The sequence below is a fragment of the Homo sapiens genome, chromosome X, assembly GCF_000001405.40.
Source record: "Homo sapiens chromosome X, GRCh38.p14 Primary Assembly".
NCBI classification, from domain to species: domain Eukaryota; kingdom Metazoa; phylum Chordata; class Mammalia; order Primates; family Hominidae; genus Homo; species Homo sapiens.
In genome coordinates this window covers 70,877,229-70,899,529 of record NC_000023.11, presented here as the reverse complement: position 1 = coordinate 70,899,529, position 22,301 = coordinate 70,877,229, and the positions used below count along the sequence as shown (strand labels likewise).

General features: G+C 39.8%; 1 protein-coding gene across 4 annotated transcripts in view; it reads left to right on the top strand.

Moving 5' to 3' along the window:
* Positions 1-22,301, top strand: part of TEX11 (testis expressed 11) — a 397,485-nt gene that overhangs the window by 9,182 nt on the left and 366,002 nt on the right. For 3 of the 4 annotated variants that reach the window (XM_017029649.1, XM_011530994.2, NM_031276.3), the window contains exon 3: positions 19,421-19,542. In XM_017029649.1, the coding sequence (XP_016885138.1) occupies positions 19,421-19,542 (122 nt within the window). Of the gene's footprint in view, positions 1-1,943; positions 2,066-19,420; positions 19,543-22,301 lie in introns of all 4 variants that reach the window. The other variant, NM_001003811.2, reaches the window with a different exon arrangement.

Sequence of the window (22,301 nt, the reverse complement as noted above, 5' to 3'; positions counted from 1 at the left end):
TATACTCAATACCAGCCCTGTCCAGTAGAAATATAATGTGAGTTAGAAATGTAACTTAAAATTTTCTAGTAATCACGTTTAAAAAGTAAAAATAAATAGGTGAAATTAATTTTTAATATAATAATAATTTTAATGCTATAGCCCAGCATATTCATACATTTTTGTTCCAGCATATAATCAGTATACAAAATTGCTGAGATATTTTACTTTCTTATTTTAAACTAAGTCTTTGAAACCCATGTGTATTTTACAATTAAAGCACATCCCAATTTGAACTAGCCACATTTTAAGTGCTCAGTAGCCATATATTGCTACCATATTAGAGAGTGCAGATCTAGACTAAAAAGTTTAGTAGTAAAACTCAGTCAAGATAATTGGCTTTCATTGAATCTCAAAGGACTTTATTTGTAATCTTCCCTGAACTATCTTTTCCTTTAAATACAACAATGGGATCCTCAGATTAAGAATGACAGAGTTATTAGGAAATATCCCAAGACAGGGCCACATAGTTTAGAATCATGAGCATACTTATTTTACAGCCTGTACAGAAATCTTACAGATAATCAGTGAGATAATCACTGATGCCACCTGGTATGCACCTATTAGGGGGAATAGTACAGTTTATGGCCGGGTGCCGTGGCTCACGCCTGTAATCCCAGCACTTTGGGAGGCCGAGGCTGGTGGATCATGAGGTCAGGAGATCGAGACCATCCTGGCTAACACTGTGAAACCCCGTCTCTACTAAAAATACAAAAAATTAGCTGAGTGTGCTGGCGGGCACCTGTAGTCCCAGCTACTCGGGAGGCTGAGGCAGGAGAATGGCGTGAACCCGGGAGGCGGAGCTTGCAGTGAGCTGAGATTGCGCCACTGCACTCCAGCCTGGCCGACAGAGTGAGACTCCATCTCAAAAAAAAAAAAAAAATACAGTTTATAAAATAAAGACATTGAGTGACCCACAGAATTGAACTTTCTTAGTATGCCATACAGTGTCTTCCAAGTTCTGGCCCCTGTATACCTTTCTAATGGTGTTTTCTCCAGCCATACATAACTGCTTATGCTTGTTTGAATTCATTGTGCTTTTTCACACCTCTGTGCTTTGCCCTCTGGCGTGTTCCTTTCCCTCAGTATCTGCCTGGAAATCTCTAACTCATCCTTCAGCCCCACCTCAAGTAACACTTCAGTGAAGCTTATCCTGCTATTCCTATATTCCATCCCTCAAATGGGCATTTATGCAATCCTTTTACATTGCTGTAGCGTCTTCCACTCACAGCACTTATTACATTATATTATAATTTTTAAATTTTTATTTATTTTTAATTTTTTCCCTTCATCCTACTTTGATCTCATGACTGATTACTACTATAATTTTTAGAATGTAATTACCTTTGGTAGTGCAATCCTCATGATGGCATAGACTGCTTCACTCATCTTTATATTCCTAGCAAGACACCAGGCATTCAAGAAATGTTTGTTGAACTAAATTTTACAAGGAGACACGTAGACATCAGCCAAAGCAGAAAGGGTGCAGTTTCCTTGGATTCTGTTCAGGGCTGAGTTGCTAATAGCTTTGATCTTGGCCAAGTTAGTTAACTTCTCCATGCTTTATTTTAATCAATTATAAAATTAGAGTGTATTACTGGAATTTTAAGGTGATTTAGAACTTTAAAAAGTTGGTTCATTGATGCATGTATGAGACTGTGTCTTGTTCATGTCATATCTTTGGTGCTTAACAAAGTACTTGGTTATCATTAAAGTTTTATTGAATGATTGAATAAAATAACTCTTGTCTCTTTTCTTTCTTTCTTTCTTTCTTTCTTTCTTTCTTTCTTTCTTTCTTTCTTTCTTTCTTTTTCTTTCTTTGTTTTCCTTCCTTCCTTCCTTCCTTCCTTCCTTCCTTCCTTCCTTCCTTCCTTCCTTCCTTTTTTCTTTCTTTCTTTCCTTAGATGGAGTCTGTCTCTGTTGTCCAGGCTGGAGTGCAGTGGCATGATCTCGGCTCACTGCAACCTCCGCCTCCTGTGTTCAAGCGATTCTTCTGCCTCAGCCTCCCAAGTAGCTGGGACTACAGGTGCATGCCACTACGCCCAGCTAATTTTTGTATTTTTAGTAGAGACGGGGTTTTACCATATTGGCCAGGCTGCTTTCGAACTCCTGACCTCGTGATCTGCCTGCCTCGGCCTCCCAAAGTGTTGGGATTACAGGCATGAGCCACTGTGCCAAGCCAACTCTTGTCTGTTTCATTCATATTGCCCACAAGGATAGCAACACTATCACCAAGAGTTACTCTCTGTATATATATATAAAACATATATATATGTTATATATATATAATATATAACATATATTATATATAACATATATATAAAAATATATATGTTATATATAATATATATCTATTTTTGAGACGGAGTCTTACTCTGTTGCCCAGGCTAGAGTGCAGTGTCGTGATCTCGGCTCACTACAACCTCTGCTTCTTGGGTTCAAGCGATCCTCTTGCCTCAGCCTCCTGAGTAGCTGGGACTGCAGGTGCACGCCACCACATCTGGCTATTTTTTTTTGTATTTTTAGTAGAGATGGGGTTTCACCACGTTGGCCAGGCTGGTCTTGAACTCCTGACCTCAAGTATTTGTCCTAAGGCTCTCCCTCCCTTTGGCCCCCACCACCTGATGGGCCCTGGTGTGTGATGTTCCCCTCCCTGTGTCCATGTGTTCTCATGCTTAACTCCTACTTATGAGTGAGAACATGTGGTGTTTGGTTTTCTGTTCCTGTGTTAGTTTGCTGAGAATGATGGTTTCCAGCTTCATCCATGTCCCTGCAAAGGACATGAACTCATTCTTTTTTTATGACTGCATAGTATTCCATGGTGTAGATGTGCTACATTTTCTTTATCCATTCTATCATTGATGGGCGTTTGGGTTGGTTCCAAGTCTTCGCTATTGTAAATAGTGCTGCAGTAAACATACATGTGCCTGTGGCTTTATAGCAGCATGATTTATAACCCTTTGGGTGTATAATCACTAATGGGATTGCTGGGTCAAATGGTATTTCTGGTTCTAGATCCTTGAGGAATTGCCACATTGTCTTCCACAATGGTTGAACTAATTTACACTCCCACCAACAGTGTAAAAGTGTACCTATTTCTCTGCATCCTCTCCAGCATCTGTTGTTTCCTGACTTTTTAATAATCGCCATTCTAGCTGGTGTGAGATGGTATCTCATTGTGGTTTTCATTTGCATTTCTCTAATGACCAGTGATGATTAACTTTTTTTCATATGTTTGCTGGCCGCATAAATGTCTTCTTTTGAGAAGTGTCTGTTTATATCCTTTGCCCACTTTTTGATGGGGTTGTTTTTTTCTTGTAAATTTGTTTAAGGTCCTTGTAGATTCTGGATATTAGACCTTTGTCGGATGGATAGATTGCAAAAATTTTCTCCCAATTCTGTAGGTTGCCTGTTCACTCTGATGGTAGTTTCTTTGGCTGTGCAGAAACTCTTTAGTTTAATTAGATTCAATTTGTCAATTTTGGCTTTTCTTGCCATTGCTTTGGTGTTTTAGTCATGAAGTCTTTGCCCATGCCCATGTCCTGAGTGGTATTGTGTAGGTTTTCTTCTAGGGCTTTTATGGTTTTAGGTTTTACATTTAAGTCTTTAATCCATCTTGAGTTAATTTTTGTATAAGGTGTAGGGAAGGGATCCGGTTTCTGTTTTCTGCGTATGGCTAGCCAGTTTTCCTGGCACCATTTATTAAATAGGGAATCCTTTCCCCATTGCTTGCTTTTGTCAAGTTTGTTGAAGATCAGATGGTTGTAGATGTGTGGTGTTATTTCTGAAGCTTCTGTTCTGTTCCATTGGTCTATATATCTGTTTTGGTACCAGTACCATGCTGTTTTGGTTATTGTAGCCTATTAGTATAATTTGAGGTAAGACAGCGTGATGCCTCCAGCTTTGTTCTTTTTGCTTAGGATTGTCTTGGCTATACAGGCTCTTTTTTGGTTCCATATGAAATTTAAAGTAGTTTTTCTAATTCTGCAAAGAAAGTCAATGATAGCTTAGTAGGAATAGCATTGAATCTATAAATTACTTAGGTCAGTATGCCCATTTTCATGATATTTATTCTTCTTATCCATGAGCATGGAATTTTTTTCCATTTGTTTGTGTCCCCGCTTATTTCCTTGAGCAGTGGTTTGTAGTTCTCCTTGAAGAGATCCTTCACATTCCTTGTAAGTTGTATTCCTAGATATTTTATTCTTTTTGTAGCAATTGTGAATGGGATTTCACTCATGATTTGGTTCTCTGCTTGTCTATTATTGGTATATAGGAATGCTTGTGATTTTTGCACATTGATTTTATATGCTGAAGTTGCTTATCACCTTAAGGAGTATTTGGGCTGAGATGATGGGGTTGTCTAAATATACAATCATGTCATCTGCAAACAGAGATAATTTGGCTTCCTCTCTTCCTATTTGAATACCACTAATTTCTTTTTCTTGCCTCATTGACCTGGCCAGAACTTCCAACACTATGTTGAATAGGAGTGGTGAGAAAGGGCATCCTTGTCTTGTGCCAGTTTTCAAAGGGAATGCTTCCAGCTTTTACCCATTCAGTATGATATTGACTGTGGGTTGTCATAAATAGCTCTTATTATTTTGAGATATGTTCCATCAATACCTAGTTTATTGAGAGTTTTTAGCATGAAGGGCTGTTGAATTTTATTAAAGGCTTTTTCTGCATCTATTGAGATAATCATGTGCTTTCTGTCATTGGTTCTGTTTATGTGATGGATTATGTTTATCGATTTGCGTATGTTGAACCAGCCTTGCATCCCCGGGATGAAGCCGACTTGATCGTGGTGGATAAGCCTTTTTGATGTGCTGCTGGATTTGGTTTGCCAGTATTTTTTTTTTTTTTTAGACGGAGTCTCGCTCTGTCGCCAGGCTAGAGGGCAGTGGCGCAATCTTGGCTCACTGCAACCTCTTCCTCCCGGGTTCAAGTGATTCTCCTGCCTCAGCCTCCCGAGTAGCTGGGACTACAGGCATGCGCCACCACGCCTAGCTGATTTTTGTATTCTTAGTAGAGACGGGGCTTCACCAGGTTGGCCAGGATGGTCTCGATCTCTTGACCTCATGATCTGCTTGCCTTGGCCTCCCAAAGTGCTGGGATTACAGGTGTGAGCCACTGCGCCTGGCCTGGTTTACCAATATTTTATTAAGGATTTTTGCATCAGTGTTCATCAGTGATATTGGCCTGAAATTTTCTTTTTTCGTGTGTGTGTCTCTGCCAGGTTTTGGTATCAGGATGATGCTGGCCTCATAAAATGAGTTAGGGAGTAGTCTCTCTTTTTCTATTGTTTGGAATAGTTTCGGAAGGAATGGTACCAGCTCCTCTTTGTACCTCTGGTAGAATTCAGCTGTGAATCTGTCTGGTCCTGGGATTTTTTTGGTTGCTAGGCTATTAATTACTGCCTCAATTTCAGAACTTGTTATTGGTCTATTCAGGGATTTGACTTCTTCCTGATTTAGTCTTGGGAGGTGTATGTGTGCAGGAATTCATCCATTTCTTCTAGATTTTCTAGTTTATTTGTGTAGAGATGTTTATTGTATTCTCTGATGGTAATTTGTATTTCTGTGGGACCAGTGGTGATAGCCTCTTTATAATTTTTTATTATCTATTTGATTCTTCTCTCTTTTCTTCTTTATTAGTCTAGCTAGTGGTCTATCTATTCTGTTAATCTTTTCAAAAAACCAGCTCCTGGACTCAATGATTTTTTGAAGGGTTTTTTGTGTCTCTATCTCCTTCAGTTCTGCTCTGATCTTAGTTATTTCTTGTCTTCTGGTGGCTTTTGAATTTGTTTGCTCTTGCTTCTCTAGTTCTTTTAATTGTGATGTTTGGGTGTCAATTTCAGATCTATCCAGCTTTCCGATGTGGGCACTTAGTACTATAAATTTCCCACTTAACACTGCTTTAGCTGTGTCCCAGCACAACAACCCTGGTATGTTGTCTCTTTGCTCTCATTGGTTTCAAACAACTTCATTATTTCTGCCTTAATTTCGTTATTACCCAGTAGTCATTCAGGAGCAGGTTGTTCAATTTCCATATAGTTGTGTGGTTTTGAGTGAGTTTCTTAACCCTGAGTTCTAATTTGATTGCACTGTGTTCTGAGAGACTGTTTGTTATGATTTCCTTTCTTTTGTTATGATTTCCGTTCTTTTGCATTTGCTGAGGAGTATTTTACTTCCAATTATGTGGTCAATTTTAGAATAAGTGCTATGTGGTGCCGAGAAGAATGTATATTCTGTTGATTTGGGGTGGAGTGTTCTGTAGATGTCTATTAGCTCCACTTGGTCTAGAGTTGAGTTCAAGTCCTGAATATCCTTGTTAATTTTCTGTCTCGTTGATCTGTCTAATATTGACAGTGGGGTGTTGAAGTCTCCCACTATTATTGTGTGGGAGTCTAAGTCTCTTTGTAGGTCTCTAACAACTTCCTTTATGAATCTGGGTGCTCCTGTATTGGGTGCATATATATTTAGGATAGTTAGCTCTTCTTGTTGTATTGATCTTTTTACCATTATGTAATGCCCTCATCTTTTTTGATCTTTGTTGGTTTAAAGTGTGTTTTATCAGAGACTAGGATTGCAACCCCTGCTTTTTTTTTGCTTTCCATTTGCTTGGTAAATAACCCTCCATCCCTTTATTTTGAGCTTCTGTGTGTCTTTGCACGTGAGATTGATCTCCTGAATACAGCACAGTGATGGGTCTTGACTCTTTATCCAATTTGCCAGTATGTGTCTTTTTTTTTTTTTGAGACTAAGTCTTGCTTTGTCTCCCAGGCTGGAGTGCAGTGGGTCGATCTCATCTCACTGCAACCTCCGCCTCCCAGGTTCAAGGGATTCTATTGCCTCAGCCTCCCAAGTAGCTGGGATTACAGACGTGTGCCACCACGCCCAGCAATTTTTTGTATTTTTAGTAGAGACAGGGTTTCACTATGTTGGCCCAGCTGGTCTTGAACTCCTGACCTCTTGATCCACCCGCCTCAGCCTCCCAAAGTGCTGGGATTACAGGCGTGAGCCACTGCGCCTGGCTAGTCTGTGTCTTTTAATTGGGGCATTTAGCCCATTTACATTTAAGGTTAACATTGTTATGTGTGAATTTGATCCTGTCAACATGATGCTATCTGGTTATTTTGCTCATTAGTTAATGCAGTTTCTTCATAGTGTTGTTGGTCTTTATATTTTGGTGTGTTTTTGCAGTGGCTGGTACCAGTTTTTCCTTTCCATATTTAGTGCTTCCTTCAGGAGCTCTTGTAAGGCAGGCCCGGTGGTGACAAAATCCCTCAGCATTTGCTTGTCTGGAAAGGATTTTATTTATTTTTATTTATTTATTTATTTTTGCTTATGAAGCTTATTTTGGCTGGATATGAAATTCTGGGTTGAAAATTATTTTCTTTAAGAATGTTGAATATTGGCCCCCACTCTCTTCTGGCTTGTAGGGTTTCTGTAGAGAGATCCACTGTTATTCTGATGGGCTTCCCTTTGTGGGTAACCTGATCTTTCTCTCTGGCTGCCCTTAACATGTTTTCCTTCGTTTCAACCTTGGAGAATCTGACGATTGTGTGTCTTGATGTTGCTCTTCTCAAGGACTATCTTAGTAGTGTTTTCCATATTTTCTGAATTTGAATGTTGGGCTGCCTTGCTAGGTTGGGGAAGTTCTCCTGGGTAATATCCTGAAGTGTGTTTTCCAACTTGGTTCCTTTCTCCCCATCACTTTCAGGTACACCAATCAATCGTAAGTTGGATCTTTTCACATAGTCCCATATTTCTTGGAGGCTTTGTTCATTCCTTTTCACTCTTTTTTCTCTAACCTTTTTTTCTTGCTTTATTTCATTAATTTGATCTTCAATCACTGATACCCTTTCTTCTACTTGATCGGATCGGCTATTGAAGCTTGTGCATGCATCACGTAGTTCTCGTGCCATGTTTTCAGCTCCATCAGGTCACTTAAGGTCTTCTCTACACAGTTTATTCTAGTTAGCCATTCATCTAATCTTTTTTTCAAGGTTTTTAGCTTCCTTGCGATGGGTTTGAACATCCTCCTTTAGCTTGGAGAAGTTTGTTATTACTGACCTTTTGAAGTCTACTTCTGTCAGCTCGTCAAAGTCATTCTCCATCCAGCTTTGTTCCATTGTTGGTGAGGAGCTGCGATCCTTTGGAGGAGGAGAGGCACTCTGGTTTTTAGAATTTTCAGCTTGTCTGCTCTGGTTTCTCCCCATCTTTGTGGTTTTATCTACCTTTGGTCTTTGATGTTGGTGACCTACAAATGGGGTTTTGGTGTAGATGTCCTTTTTGTTGATGTTGATGCTATTCCTTTCTGTTTGCTAGTTTTCCTTCTACCAGTCAGGTCCCTCAGCTGCAGGTCTGTTGGAGTTTGCTGGAGGTCCACTCCAGACCCTGTTTGCCTGGGTATCAGTAGCAGAGGCTGCAGAACAGCAAGTATTGCAGAACAGCAAATATTGCTGCCTTATCCTTCCCCTGGAAGCTTCATCCCAGAGGGGCACCCGCCTGTATGAGATGTCAGTCGGCCCCTACTGGGAGGCATCTCCCATTTAGGCTACACGGGGGTCAGGGACCCACTTGAGGAGGCAGTCTGTCCATTCTCTGAGCTCAAACACTGTGCTGGGAGAACCACTGCTCTCTTCAGAGCTGTCAGACAGGGACGTTTAAGTGTGCAGAAGTTTCTGCTGCCTTTTGTTCAGCTCTGCCCTGCCCCCAGAGGTGGAGTCTACAGAGGCAGCCAGCCTTGCTGAGCTGCGGTGGGCTCTGCTGAGTTTTAGTTTCCCCAGCTGCTTTGTTTACCTACTCAAGCCTCAGCAATGGCAGACCCCCCTCCCCCTGCTAGGCTGCTGCCTTGCAGTTTGATCTCAAACTGCTGCCCTAGCAGTGATCAAGGCTTTGTTGTCGTGGGACCTGCCAAGCCAGGCATGGAACACAATCTCCTGGTGTGCTGTTTGCTAAGACCGTTGGAAAAGCAGAGTAGTTGGGCAGGAGTGTCCCGTTTTTCCAGGTACCGTCTGTCATGGCTTCCCTTGGCTAGGAAAGGGAAATCCCTTGCCCTTTTTGGGTGACCCCTTGCCCTTTTTGGTGAGGTGATGCCCTGCCCTGCTTTGGCTCACCCTCCGTGGGCTGCACACACTGTCCAACCAGTCCCAATGAGATGAACCAGGTACCTCAGTTGGAAATGCAGAAATCACCCGTCTTCTGTGTCGATCACGTTGGGAGCTGCAGACCAGAGCTGTTCCTATTTGACCATCTTGGAATGGAATCCTGAATTAACCTCTTTATCAGTATATAATGACCTTTGTCTCTTTTTAGTTTTTTTCATGAAATCTGTTTTTTCTGACATAAGTATCGGTACTCCTGCTCTTTTTTGGTTTCCATTGGCATGGAATATCTTTCCATCCCTTTATTTTCAGTCTGTGTGTGTCTTTATATGTGAAGTGTGTTTCTTGTAGGCAAGGGATCAATGGGTTTTGTTTTCTCAATTTAGCCACTCTATGTCTTTTGATTTGAGAGGTTAATCCATTTACATTAAATGTTATTATTGATAAGAACTTACTCATGCCATTTTGTTATTTATTTTCTGGTTGTTTTGTGGTCTTCTCTTCCTTCTTTCCTTCCTGTCTTCCTTCAGTGAAGGTGATTTTCTCTAGTGATATGATTTAGTTTCTTGCTTTTTATTTTTTGTGTGTTCATTGTATATTTTTAGGTTTGTAGTTACCACGAGTCTTGCAAATACTATCTTATAACCCATTATTTTAACTTGATAACAACTTAGCACTCTGCATAAACAAACAGGGAAAAAGAAAACTAATAAAAACCTTATGCCTTAACTTCATCCTCCTGCTTTTTAACTTTTTTGTTGTTTTTATTTATATCTTATTGTACTATTTCTGGAAAAGTTGTAGTTGTTATTTTTCATTGGTTCATTGTTTATTCATTCTACTTAGAGTAGTTTACACACCACAGTTACAGTGTTATAATAATTGTGTTATAACAGTGTTACTTTTTTTTTGTACTTACTATTACCAGTGAGGTTTGTACCTCAAGATAATTTTTTTTTTTGAGATGGAGTCTCACTCTTGTCTCCCAGGCTGGAGTGCAATGGTGCAGACTCGGCTCACTGCAACCACCGCCTCCTGGGTTCAAGCGATTCTCCTGCCTCACCCTCCCAAATAGCTGGGATTACAGATGTCTGCCACCACTCCTGGCTAATTTTTGTTCTTTTTAGTAGAGATGGGGTTTCACCATGTTGGCCAGGCTCGTCTCAAACTCCTGAGCTCAGGTGATCCACCCACCTCGGCCTCCCAAAGTGCTGGGATTACAGGGATGAGCCACTGTGCCTGGCCCAGATGATTTTTTATTGCTCATTATTATTATAAGAGAGGATCAAAATCCTCTCTTTAGCATTTCTTGTAAGGCAGGTCTGGTGTTGATGAAATCCCTCAGCTTTTGTTTGTCTGGGAAAGTCTTTCTCCTTCACATTTGAAGGATATTTTCACTGGATATACTATTCTAGGGTAAAAGTTTTTTTCCCACAGCACTTTAAATATGTCATGCCAGTCTCTCCTGGCCTATAAGGTTTCCACTGAAAAGTCTGCTGCCAGACATATTGGAGCTCCATTTCATGTGATTTGTTTCTTTTCTCTTGCTGCTTTTAGGATCTTTTCTTTATCCTTGAGCTTTGGGGGTTTGATTATTGTTACATGCCTTAAGGTGGTTTTCTTGGGTTAAATCTACTTGGTGTTCTATAACCTTTTTGTACTTGGATATTGATATCTTTCTCTAAGTTTGGGAAGTTCTCTGTTATCCCTTTGAATAAACTTTCTATCCCTATGTCTTTCTCTTCCTCATCTTTAAGGCCAATAACTATTAGCTTTGCTCTTTTGTGGCTATTTTCTAGATCCTGCAGGTGTGCTTCATTGTTTTTTATTCTTTTTTCTTTTGTCTCCTCTGACTATGTATTTTCAAACAGCCTGTCTTCAAGCTCACTAAATCTTTCTTTTGCTTGATCAATTTTGCTATTAAAGGACTCTGATGCTTTCTTCAGTATGCTAGTTGCATTTTTAGTTCAGAATTTCTGTTTGATTAATTTAAAGTATTTCAATCTCTTTGCTAAATTTAGCTGATAGAATTCTAAATTCCTTCTCTGTGTTATATTGAATTTCTTTGAGTTTCCTCAACACAGCTATTTTGAATTATCTCTCTGAAAGGTCACATGTCTCTTGTTTCTCCAGGTTGGTCCCTAGTGCCTTATTTAGTTCATTTGGTGAGGTCATGTTTTCCTGGATGGTGTTGATGCTAGTAGATGTTCTTTGGTGTCTGGGCATTGAAGAGTTAGGTCTTTATTGCAATCTTTACTGTCTGGGCTTATTTGTACCTGTCCTTCTTTGGAAGGCTTTCCAGATATATGAAAAGACTTTGGTGTTGTGATCTAAGCTGTATCTGCTTTAGGGGGCACCCCAAGTACAGTAATGCTTTGTTTCTTGCAGACTCGTAGAGATACCACCTTGGTGGCCTTCCATAAGATCCAGAAGCATTCTCTAGATTACCCAGCAGAGGCTTTTCTCTTACTTTCTCCCAGAGTCTCCCTCTCTGTTCTGGAAGCCTGGATCTGGGGGAGGGGTGACAGAAGCATCCCCATGGCCACCACTGCCAAGACTGTACTGGGTCAAACCTGAAGCCAGCACAGTACTGGGTCTCCCCCAAGGCCTGCTGTAACCACCTTTGTAACCAAGGCCCGCTGCTACCACCTTTGTTCACTCAAGGCCCTAGAGCTCTACAACCAGCAGGTGGTGAAGCCAGCCAGCCTTTTGTCTTTCTCTTAAGGGTATGGAGTTCTCCCAGGCCCTGGGTGGGTCCAGAGATGCTGTCTGGGAGCCGGGACCTGGAGATGGAAACCTTAGACATCTACCTGGTGCACTAATCTACTGTGGTTGAGCTGGTGTTGAAACCCCCAGACAAAGTCCTTCCCACTCTTCCCTCCTTTTTCCCCAGGCAAAGGAGTCTATCCCTATGCCCACCACTACAGGCCCATGGGGAGTAATGCCAGGCTACTGCCGATGTTTACTTAAGGCCCAAGGGCTCTTCAGTCAGCTTCTGGTGAATCTTCCAGGCCTGGGACTCATCATTCAGGATAGTGGGCTCTTCTCTGACCCAGGTTAGGTCCAGAGACGGTGTCCAAGAGCCAAGGACTGGAATCCTGGACCCCAAGAGCCTGCTTGGTGTTTTTCCCTACTGTGGCCAAGGTGGCACCTAAGCTCAAGACTTACTCCTCCATCTGCTTTTCTTAAGCAGAAGGGGTCTCTCCCTGTAGCCACCACAGCTGTGAATGCACTGCCTTGAAGGGAAGGATACAGACCTGGTAGGATTCATCACCTGCTAACTAAAGAGCCCTTGGGCCCTGAATAACCATCAATGATAACCAGGGAGTACATACCCACTGTGGGCCTTGCTGCTGTGGGCCTTGGGCGAGACTCTGAGATGTGTTGGCTTCAGGTGTGAACCAGCGCATTCACAGCTATCCTTTAGTCTCTAAAGTTTAGTGTTTTGAATGTGACTAGATAGGTTTCCTCACCAGAATCAAGTTGGAAATTCCTTTGTGATTAGCATGATATTGTCAGCTCTTGCCTCCCTCCACCCCCAGCCAATTGCCTTCCAAAACTTAACATTGCTTTATCTTCCGATGAGCCCAGTTTGTAGGTTTAGGTTTGCTCTATTCTCTGAGCCTGTTCTATTCAAAGGAAGAAAGAATAGTACCATTGTAGAGTAGGGAAGCTGTTGGTTTGGATTAAGTTATACTGGCCATCAGATTTGAGCTTTAACATACTAGGGGCATATTCTATGCACCTGTTTAGCTTTGGAGTTGTATCATTTCTTTTTTTATTGTGGTAAGAACGTTTAATATGAGATTTGCTGTCAGCAAAACTTTAAGTATACATTATTGACTGTAAGTATAGTATTGTATAGCAGATCTGTATTGCTTATTCATCTTGCTTGACTGAAACATTATGCCCGTTGCTTAGTAACTCCCTATTACCCCTTTCCCCCAGCCCTTGGAAACCACCATTCTACTCTTTGGTTCTATGAATTTGACTATTTTAGGTATTTCATGTAAGTGGAACCATGCAGTATTTGTCTTGTGACTAGCTTATTTCACTTAGTATAATGTCCTCAAGGTTCATCCATATTGTCACATATTATGGAATTTCCTTCTTTTTGAAGACTAAATGGCATTTTATTGTATGTATATACCACATTTTCTTTATCCATTCATTTGCTGGTGGACATTTGCATCATTTCCACATCTTGGCTATTGTGAATAGTGCTACAGTGAACATGGGAGTGCTAATATCTCTTCAAGACCCTGATTTCAATTCATGTGGATAAATACCCAGAAGTGTAATTGCTGTATCATATGCGAGTTGTATTTTTAATTTTTTGAAGAACCTTCATACTGTGTTCCATAGCAGCTGCACCATTTTACCATCCTACCAACAGTGTACAAGAGTTCCAATTTCTCTACATCCTCACCAATACTTCTTATTTTTTCTTTCTTTCTTTCTTTCTTTCTTTTTCTTTTTTTTTTTTTTTTGTGGCAGTGTCTCACTCTTACCCAGGATGGAGTGTAGTGGCTCGATCTTGGCTCACTGCAACCTCTGTCTTACAGGTTTGAGCAATTCTCCTGCTTCAGCCTCCCAAGTACCTGGCACTACAGGTGGTGCCACCGTGCCCAGCTAATTTTTGTATTTTTGGTAGAGACGGGGTTTCACCATGTTGCTCAGGCTGGTCTCGAACTCCTGACCTCAAGTGATCCACCTGCCTCGGCCTCCCAATGTGCTGGGATTACAGGCATAAGCCACTGCGCCTGGCCTTATTTTCTATTTTTTGATAGTGGTTATCTTAATGGATGTGAGGTGATATATCATTGTAATTTTAAATTTTAGTTTGCATTTCCCTGATGATTAGTGATGTTGAGATTTTTTCCATATACCTGTTGGCCATTTGTATATCTTCTTGGAGAAATTTTTGGTACTTTAAAATATTTTCTATCTCTGTTGAAATTCTCACTTTGTTCATGCATTGCTCTCTTGACCTCAGTGAGCATCTTCATGAGAGTTGTTTTAATTCTCTGTCAGGTAAATTATATAACTCTATTTATTAGGGTTGGTTTATGGAGATTATCTTGTTCCTTTGTTTGGAACATCTTTGCCTGGTTTTTCATTTTCCTTGACCCACTGTTGGTGCCTGTGTTAAGGCACCTCTCTCATTCTTCATGGGCTTGTCTTGTACAGGAGAAGGGCCCCCCCAATTAGGCTTGGCAGAGATTCTGGGGGCCTCTACCACCTCTTTCTCTCCCCAGAGAGAAGCTGGAAGCTATAGTTTTTGTCTGCTTGTTCTGGGCTGAGCCAGAGTGGAGAGCTATGGCATGTACCAGCTCAAGCCACTGTCTCCCATTCTCCCCTGAGCAGCTAGAGTTTGCCGGACCCATCTGAGCCTCAAAACTAGAGAGATATATGCAAGTTCTTTTGGCAGCCCTGGAGAAGTTGGGGCACTAGAGGCACAGATCAACTCTTTTCCCTCCCCACCAGGAAGCAGAGAGCTGGAGCTTTTCATCTGTGGAGGTGTATCATTTCTGCTTGTCATGATTTTCATGAGGTTAGCCTGCCCTGCATCCATCCCTAGTTAACTCTCCAGGATCAGGACACTGCTCAGAACTACAATACACTGCTGTGAATAGATCTGTTGGAACTATGGTACATACAGTTCCATCTGACTTCTGCTTTATGACTTGCTGCTTGGATTCTCTTGTACCATATCCAATTTGTCATTTGGGACTTCCTGGAACATTATATAGGAAAAATTATTATCTTTGTGACCGTGGATAGAAATTACGATTTACAATGTAATTTTAGTCTATGACTAAACCTGTTTGCCTGATTTTGCCAGACCCTTTTGACACTGTTTTGGATATTTTGGCTGTCCTCATTCAAACCAACCTCTGCAGTTTGAATAGTTTTCTTTAGCCCACAATCAGAGCTATAGTGTAGTGCTCTGAATGCTTTTGGCTCATTTCTTTCCTTTCTGCTGTTTTTCAGTTGTCTGAGTGTCCTAGCTTATCACTTGTTCCAGATCCTTCCTGATAGAACCAGTATAGTGGAAAGTACAGGATTTCAAATCAGAAAGCCTGAATTCAAGTCCTAGCTTACTACTTTCTATTTTATCACCATCAAGAAGTCACTTTATCCAGCAAAAAGGCCTGATTTTTAAAAAGTCACTTCATTTTGTTAAAACTTAGTTTCCACATCTTATGAAATAAAAATATCTTCCTTACAGAATAGATTGAAGATTAAATGAGAATGCATATGAAAAAGCTTCGAGACTGGAAAGCAATATGCAAATGTTAATTTTATTGTCATTTCTGGTTCTTTTCTCACTAAAGAAGTTGCATATAATTATTGTGACTTGGAGTAAAATCTTGAATTGATTTTGGCAGGTCTTTGAGCTGCTTTGGCTTTTGAATGACTGGTTGAGCTGATGGAGGTCACAGGGAAAGACTTGGCAGGACAGTTGATAGATTTTTGCATGTTGTAACAGAAGCTCCCTTCCTCAAGGACAGGGAAAATGTTTATTTTCTATTATACGGTACCTAGAATGTTATCTACTTAATCAGAATTAATTGATACAGATTAACGTGGCTGCCTCAATCGAGTGAACCCCCAGTTTTAACTAGAATGCATCTCATTTAAATTAAATGGACTAAAATCTGTTGTAAATCATAGTTTCTTTTTGTAGCCAGGAAGATAATTTAATAATTTTTTTCAAAACGTACAATCTTGCTTGACAAAACCTTAATACAGTTTGCTGTCTTCTCATCTCAGGAGTAGACTGCATTTTGTATTTGAGACAGTCTCTGCCGCTTAGGCTGGAGTGCAATGGCGTGATCACAACTCACTGTAGTTTCAACCTCCTAGGCTCAAGCGATCCTCCCACCTCAACCACCCGAGTAGCTGGGACCACAGGTGTGGGCTACCATGCCTGGCTAATTTTATTTATTTATTTGTAAAGATGGGGTCTGTCTATATTGCCCAGGGTAGTCTCGAACTCCTGGGCTCAAGCAATCCCCTTGCCTTGGCCTCCCAAATTGCTGGAATTACAAGCGCGAGACACTTTGCCCAGCTGTAGACTGCATTTATAGAAGTTCTTTTCATCGGATGCAGTGGCACACACCTGTAATGCCAGCTACTTGGATGGGAGGATCACTTAAGCCCAAGAGTTTCAGGCCAGGCTGGGCAACATAGCAAGACCCTGTCTCAAAACAAAAACAAAAACAAAAACAAAAAATAGAATTTATTTTCTGAGCTTCTCCCAGATGCAAATCTCTTCTTTATAGTGTAACTCTCAACCTTTCAGCTATGTGATCTCTATCACTTACCCAGCTTTGCTGACTGCATTTTATCCTTAAAGGACTGCAATGCTGTCATTGCCTCAGCTGGTGTCGGTGAAATTGCTCAGCTGAATAACACTGAAAATATGTTTTGAAAGGACCAGAATTATTTAGACAAAAATGAGTTAATAAAACATTAACCACTTAAGAGAACATTCACAAATCAAAATATATGTCTTCATAGTCTCATAAACTATGTAACCAGAAACTATTATTGGTATTCTACAATAACATCTTAGGATTTTTTTTTTTTTGAGAGACAAGGTCTTGCTCTGTCACCCAGCTGGAGTGCCGTGGCATGATCATAGCTTAACTGCAGCTTCCACCTCCTGGGCTGGAGTGATCCTCTCACCTCAGCCACCGAGTAGCTGGAACTACAGGTGTGAGCCACCACACCCAGATAATTTTTAAGTTTTTTATGGAGATGAAGTCTCACTGTGTTCCCCAGGCTGGTCTCAAACTCCTGAGCTCAAGCAATCTACCTGCCTCAGCCTCCCAAACTGTTAGGATTACAGGCATGAGCCACCACGGCTGGCCAGGATGTTTTTTTTAAAACGTATATTGGTGGCATGTGCTTGTAGTCCCAGCTACTCAGCAGGCTGAGGCAGGAGAATTGCTTGAACCTGGGAGGCGGAGATTGCAGTGAGCCAAGATCCCCCACTGTACTTCAGCCTAGGTGACAGAGTAAGACTCTGTCTTAAAAACAAAACAAAACAAACAAACGAAAGTTTATATTGGGGTTTTGTTTTCTTCTCAAAAATATTTTTAAAAATCTGTTCTTTAAACAATATTTGTATTTTTAAAAACATCAATTTTAAAATCTCCCTGATTCTGTTACCAATATTTTGAGTAAGGGCTATATAAATATATGCCCCTCAGCCCAATACTTACCTAATCTTAGAGGAGTCAAGATATTTAACATCAGTCTTTCCATTAAACAACTTATGGGAAAAAGAAAGATAGAGGGTTTCTTTTTTCTTTTTTCTTTTTCTTTTTTTTTTTTTTTTTGAGATGGAGTCTTGTTCTGTTGCCCAGGCTGGAGTGCAGTGGCCGATCTCAGCTCACTGCAACCTCTGCCTCCTGGGTTCAAGAGATTCTCCTGTCTCACCTTCTGGAGTAGCTGGGACTGCAGGTATGTGCCACCGTGCCTGGCTAATTTTTGTATTTTTCTTTTCATATATAGTTTTTCACCTAAAGTATTTAAAATGTGTGAATTTTAAATACTTTTTAATTTGCTTTGTGACGTCTTTATTGGAATCTATAGTCTTATGTTTAGCTAGAATTTTAATTTTTAATTTTTATTTTTATACGTACATAGTAGGTGTATATATTTATAGGATACATGAGATATTTTGATACAGACATAGAATGTGTAATAATCACATCAGGGTAAATAGGATATCCATCACCTCAAGCATTTGTTTAACTGAAATTTTTGTAGCTGATTTATTTTTTACTGTAGCAAGGTAAAAGTTCTGTTTATTTTAGCAGCTTAAAAATCTTTTAGAAGGTGCTTTTATAGTACTGTTATGAATATTAACATTTTTGCTAATTTGAGGCTCAAGAATGTTGCAAGAAATTAGAAATATGTAGCTTATGGACATTTCTGTCACGAGTTTGAAAAAAACCTCAATTTTGATAATATGAAGGGCATCAATTGTGATTCTACATCATGCTTATTGTTTAGTTTTAGTTTTTTTTTTTTTTTTGAGACACAGTCTTGCTCTGTTGCCCAGGCTGGAATTCAGTGGCATGATCTGAGCTAAGTACAACCTCAACCTCCCAGGCTCAAGCAATTCTTATGCCTCAGCCACCCCAGTAGCTGGGATTACAGGCGGGCACACCACGCCTAGCTAATTTTTGTATTTTTAATAGGGATGGGGTTTTGCCATGCTGAGCAAGCTGGTCTTGAATTCCTGGCCTGAAGTGATCTGCCTGCCTCCGCCTCCCAATGTGCTGGGATTACAAGCATGAGCCACTGGGCCCGGTCTAGTTTTAGTTTTAGTTTTTTTTTTTTTTTTTTTTTTTTTGGATGATGTCTTGCTATGTTGCCCAGCCTGTTTCAAACTCCTGGGCTCAAGGGATCCTCCTGCCACAGCCTCCTGAGTAGTTGGTACTACAGGCGTGGAGCATCCTGCCCAGCTAATGCTTGGGTTTGAAGGAATTCCATGGCCTGGTAAGATTCAGCTATTTGGAGTCTGGAGCTCAGACCATTTAGAAAATGGTGACATCATTTGTGCAGATTCAATATCTGGTTAATGTTGCTAATTGAGCATGTCATTTTTTTCTTGCAAAGTAAGTTCAAGACTTCAGAGCCAGCAGTTAGCTATGTCTGTCTAATGCTTGAAAATATTAGTAAGTTTTTCAGTTTTACAGGGCACATATTCAGAACTTCTTTCAGAATTTCTACATTTTCTGGTTTTGAAGACACTGTTAAGTTCAGTTTTGCAGGGTTTTTGTTTGTTTGTTTTAGAGAAAGGGTCTCACTCTGTAGCCCATGCTGCATGGAGTACAGTGGCAGGATCGTAGCTCACTGTAGCCTTGAACTCCTGGACTCAAGTGATCCTCCTACCTCAGCCTTTGGACTAGCTAGGGCTAAAGACGTGTGCCACCATGCTTGGCCTGTTTTGTACTTTTAATATTACCTAATAACATTACTATTTGTGAAGTCAATGCATTTTACTTTCTGAGAATGAGTAATGATTAAGTTATAAACAAGTGACTCCCAAAGAATGCAAATTTTATTTGAAAATTATACTCTAGCTTAAAGAAACTTTAAATCTCCAGTTTGGTTTTACTCTAAGGATCAAGTTCCTTCATGCTGTATTCATTTGGCCAATGATTTAGACATAGATTTAAAAATGATTTGCTACATTTAGCCAATGGTAATAGTTCACAGCACATTTATCATCCATTGTCATTTCAGAAGTTGTTGAAAACCTGGTTACAAATGATAATTCACCTAACATACCAGAGGCAATTGATAGACTCTTCAGCGACATAGCAAATATCAACAGGGAGTCTATGGCTGAAATAACAGACATTCAGGTTAGTATAAAAATAATTCTGTTTATGATAAGTTTCGATGATTCTTCATTTTAACCAATGTATTATATAGGTAAAAAAGTAGTCTTCATGCTTAACCATTGCTAAACATATAAAAATCTATTTTTGGATGTTCACACCTAATTTAGGGGGAAAAATTTTAGAAACCAATGGGAACATATGTGCTCGTTTAATATTTATTATTTATTTATTTATTAGCAATGTTATTTATTATTAATATTTATTAACCTCCCCAGGCTTCAGTTTTCTCACCTGTTAAATGATAATAGTAATACCCACCTCCAAGTGTTGTTATGAATAGTAAACAAAATAACATATATAAGGTCCTGGGCACATACTAGTTCTCTTTTCCTTCCCTTTGCAACAAAGTAGTGGAGCCACCCAGTAGTGGAGAACTCAGTTGACTATAAGCCTTCAGAAGTGCTTTTTTTGGGGGTAATTTTCTAATGTTTAAATGAAGGTCTGTTACTTACTTAATATGGAAGCTGTCTTGAGGCTTGAAACACTTTTGAGAATATTTACCTTGGGCAAATACTTCCATTTTGGTGACTACTTGTATGGAAAGGTGAGAGGAAAGTTTACTGTAAATCTCTCTTCCTCTTTATATATATAAGTATCTATATATGTATATATGTGTTTATGTATATATAAATACCTTTATTTAGATATAATTTACATACCATGCAATTCACCCATTTCAAGTATACAATTCAATAGTTTTTAGTATTTCACAGAGTTGTTGTGCACCTATCACCACAGTTAGTTAATTTTAGAATATTTTCATCACCTCAAAAAGAAACCGCACACCCGTTCACAAACACTCTCCATTTCCTCCCATCCTCTTCCCTCCCTCACCCTCAGCCCTAGGCAACCACTAATCTACTTTTGGTCTCTATGGTTTTGCCTAATGAGGACATTTTATATAAATAGAATCATACAATGTGTGGTTTACTGACTGTTTTCACTTAGCAAGATGTTTTCAAAGTTCATCCATATTGTTGCATGTATTTGTACTTCATACATTTTTATGACTGAATAATATCCCATTGTATGGATATACCATATTTTGTTTGTCCATTCATCTATTCATGAACGTTTTCATTGCTTCCACCTTTTGGCTATTATGAATAATGCTGCTATAAATACTCATGTACAGATTTTTATGTTTTCATTTTTCTTAGGTTTGTACCTAAGAATGAAATTGCTTCCACCTTTTGGCTATTATGAATAATGCTGCTATAAATACTCATGTACAGATTTTTATGTTTTCATTTTTCTTAGGTTTGTACCTAAGAATGAAATTGCTGGGCCATGTGTTAACTCTAAACTTTTTTTTTTTTTTACTTTTTTTAAATTTTAAGTTCTAGGGTACATGTGCACAACGGGCAGGTTTGTTACATATGTATACATGTGCCATGTTGGTTTGCTGCTGCCAGATTGTTTTCCAAAGTGGCCGCACCATTTTACATTCCCACTAGCAATATAAGAGGGATCCAGTTGGCTGGGCACGGTGACTCACGCCTGTAATCCCAGCACTTTGGGACGCCGAGGCGGGCAGATCACAAGGTCAGGAGATCGAGACCATCCTGGCTAACACAGTGAAACCCTGTCTCTACTAAAAATACAAAAATTAGCCGGGCGTGGTGGCAGGCGCCTGTAGTCCCAGCTACTTGGGAGGCTGAGGCAGGAGAATGGCGTGAACCCAGAAGGCGGAGCTTGCAGTGAGCCGAGATTGCACCACTGCACTCCAGCCTGGGTGACAGAGCGAGACTCCGTCTCAAAAAAAAAAAAAAAAAAAAAAGAGGGATAGAGGGATCCAGTTTTTCCACCTCCTTGCTGACATTTGTCATTATTTGTCTTTTTGATTATAGTCATTCTAGTGGGTATGAAGTGTTATCTCATTGTGTTTTTTATTGCGGTAAAATACACATAACACAAAATTTACCATCTTAACTATCTTTAGGTGTATAGTTCCCTTGTGTTAAGTATGTTCACATTGTGCAGCTATTATCTAGAACCCTTTTCGTCTTGCAAAACTGAAACTCTATATCCATTAAACAACTCCCCCTTGCCCTCTAAAATTCTTACGAATTTTGGGATCAGCTTGTCAACCACCATTCTACTTTCTCTCTCTATAAATTTGACTACTCTCAGTACCTCATGTAAGTGGAATCATGTAATAATTGTCTTTTTGTGGCTGGTTTATTTCTCTTAGTATAATGTCTTCAAGGTTCATTCATGTTGCAGCATGTGTCAGAATTTCCTTCCTTTTTAAGACTGAATAATCCATTGTATGTGTGTACCACATTTTGTTTATCCATTCATTTGTTGATGGACACTTGGGTTGCATCTACCTTTTGCCTATTGTGAATAATGTTGCTATGAGCATTGGTATGGAAATTTCTGTTCAAGTCCCTGCATTTAATTCTTTTGGATATATACCCAGAATTGGAATTGCTGTATCATATGGCAATTCTGTTTTTAATTTTTTGAGGAACCACCATACTGTTTTCCATAGCAACTATACCATTTTACATTTCTATTAGTAGTGAACAAGGGTACCAGTTTCTTCACATTATCACCAATACTTGTTGTTCTGTTTTTTTATTGATAGTAGTCATCCTAGTGACTGTGAGGTGGTATCTCAGTTTTTGTTTTTGTTTTTGTTTTTTTTTTTTAAGACAATCACACTCTGTTGCCCAGGCTGGAGTGCAGTGTCAGGATCTCAGTTCACTGCAACC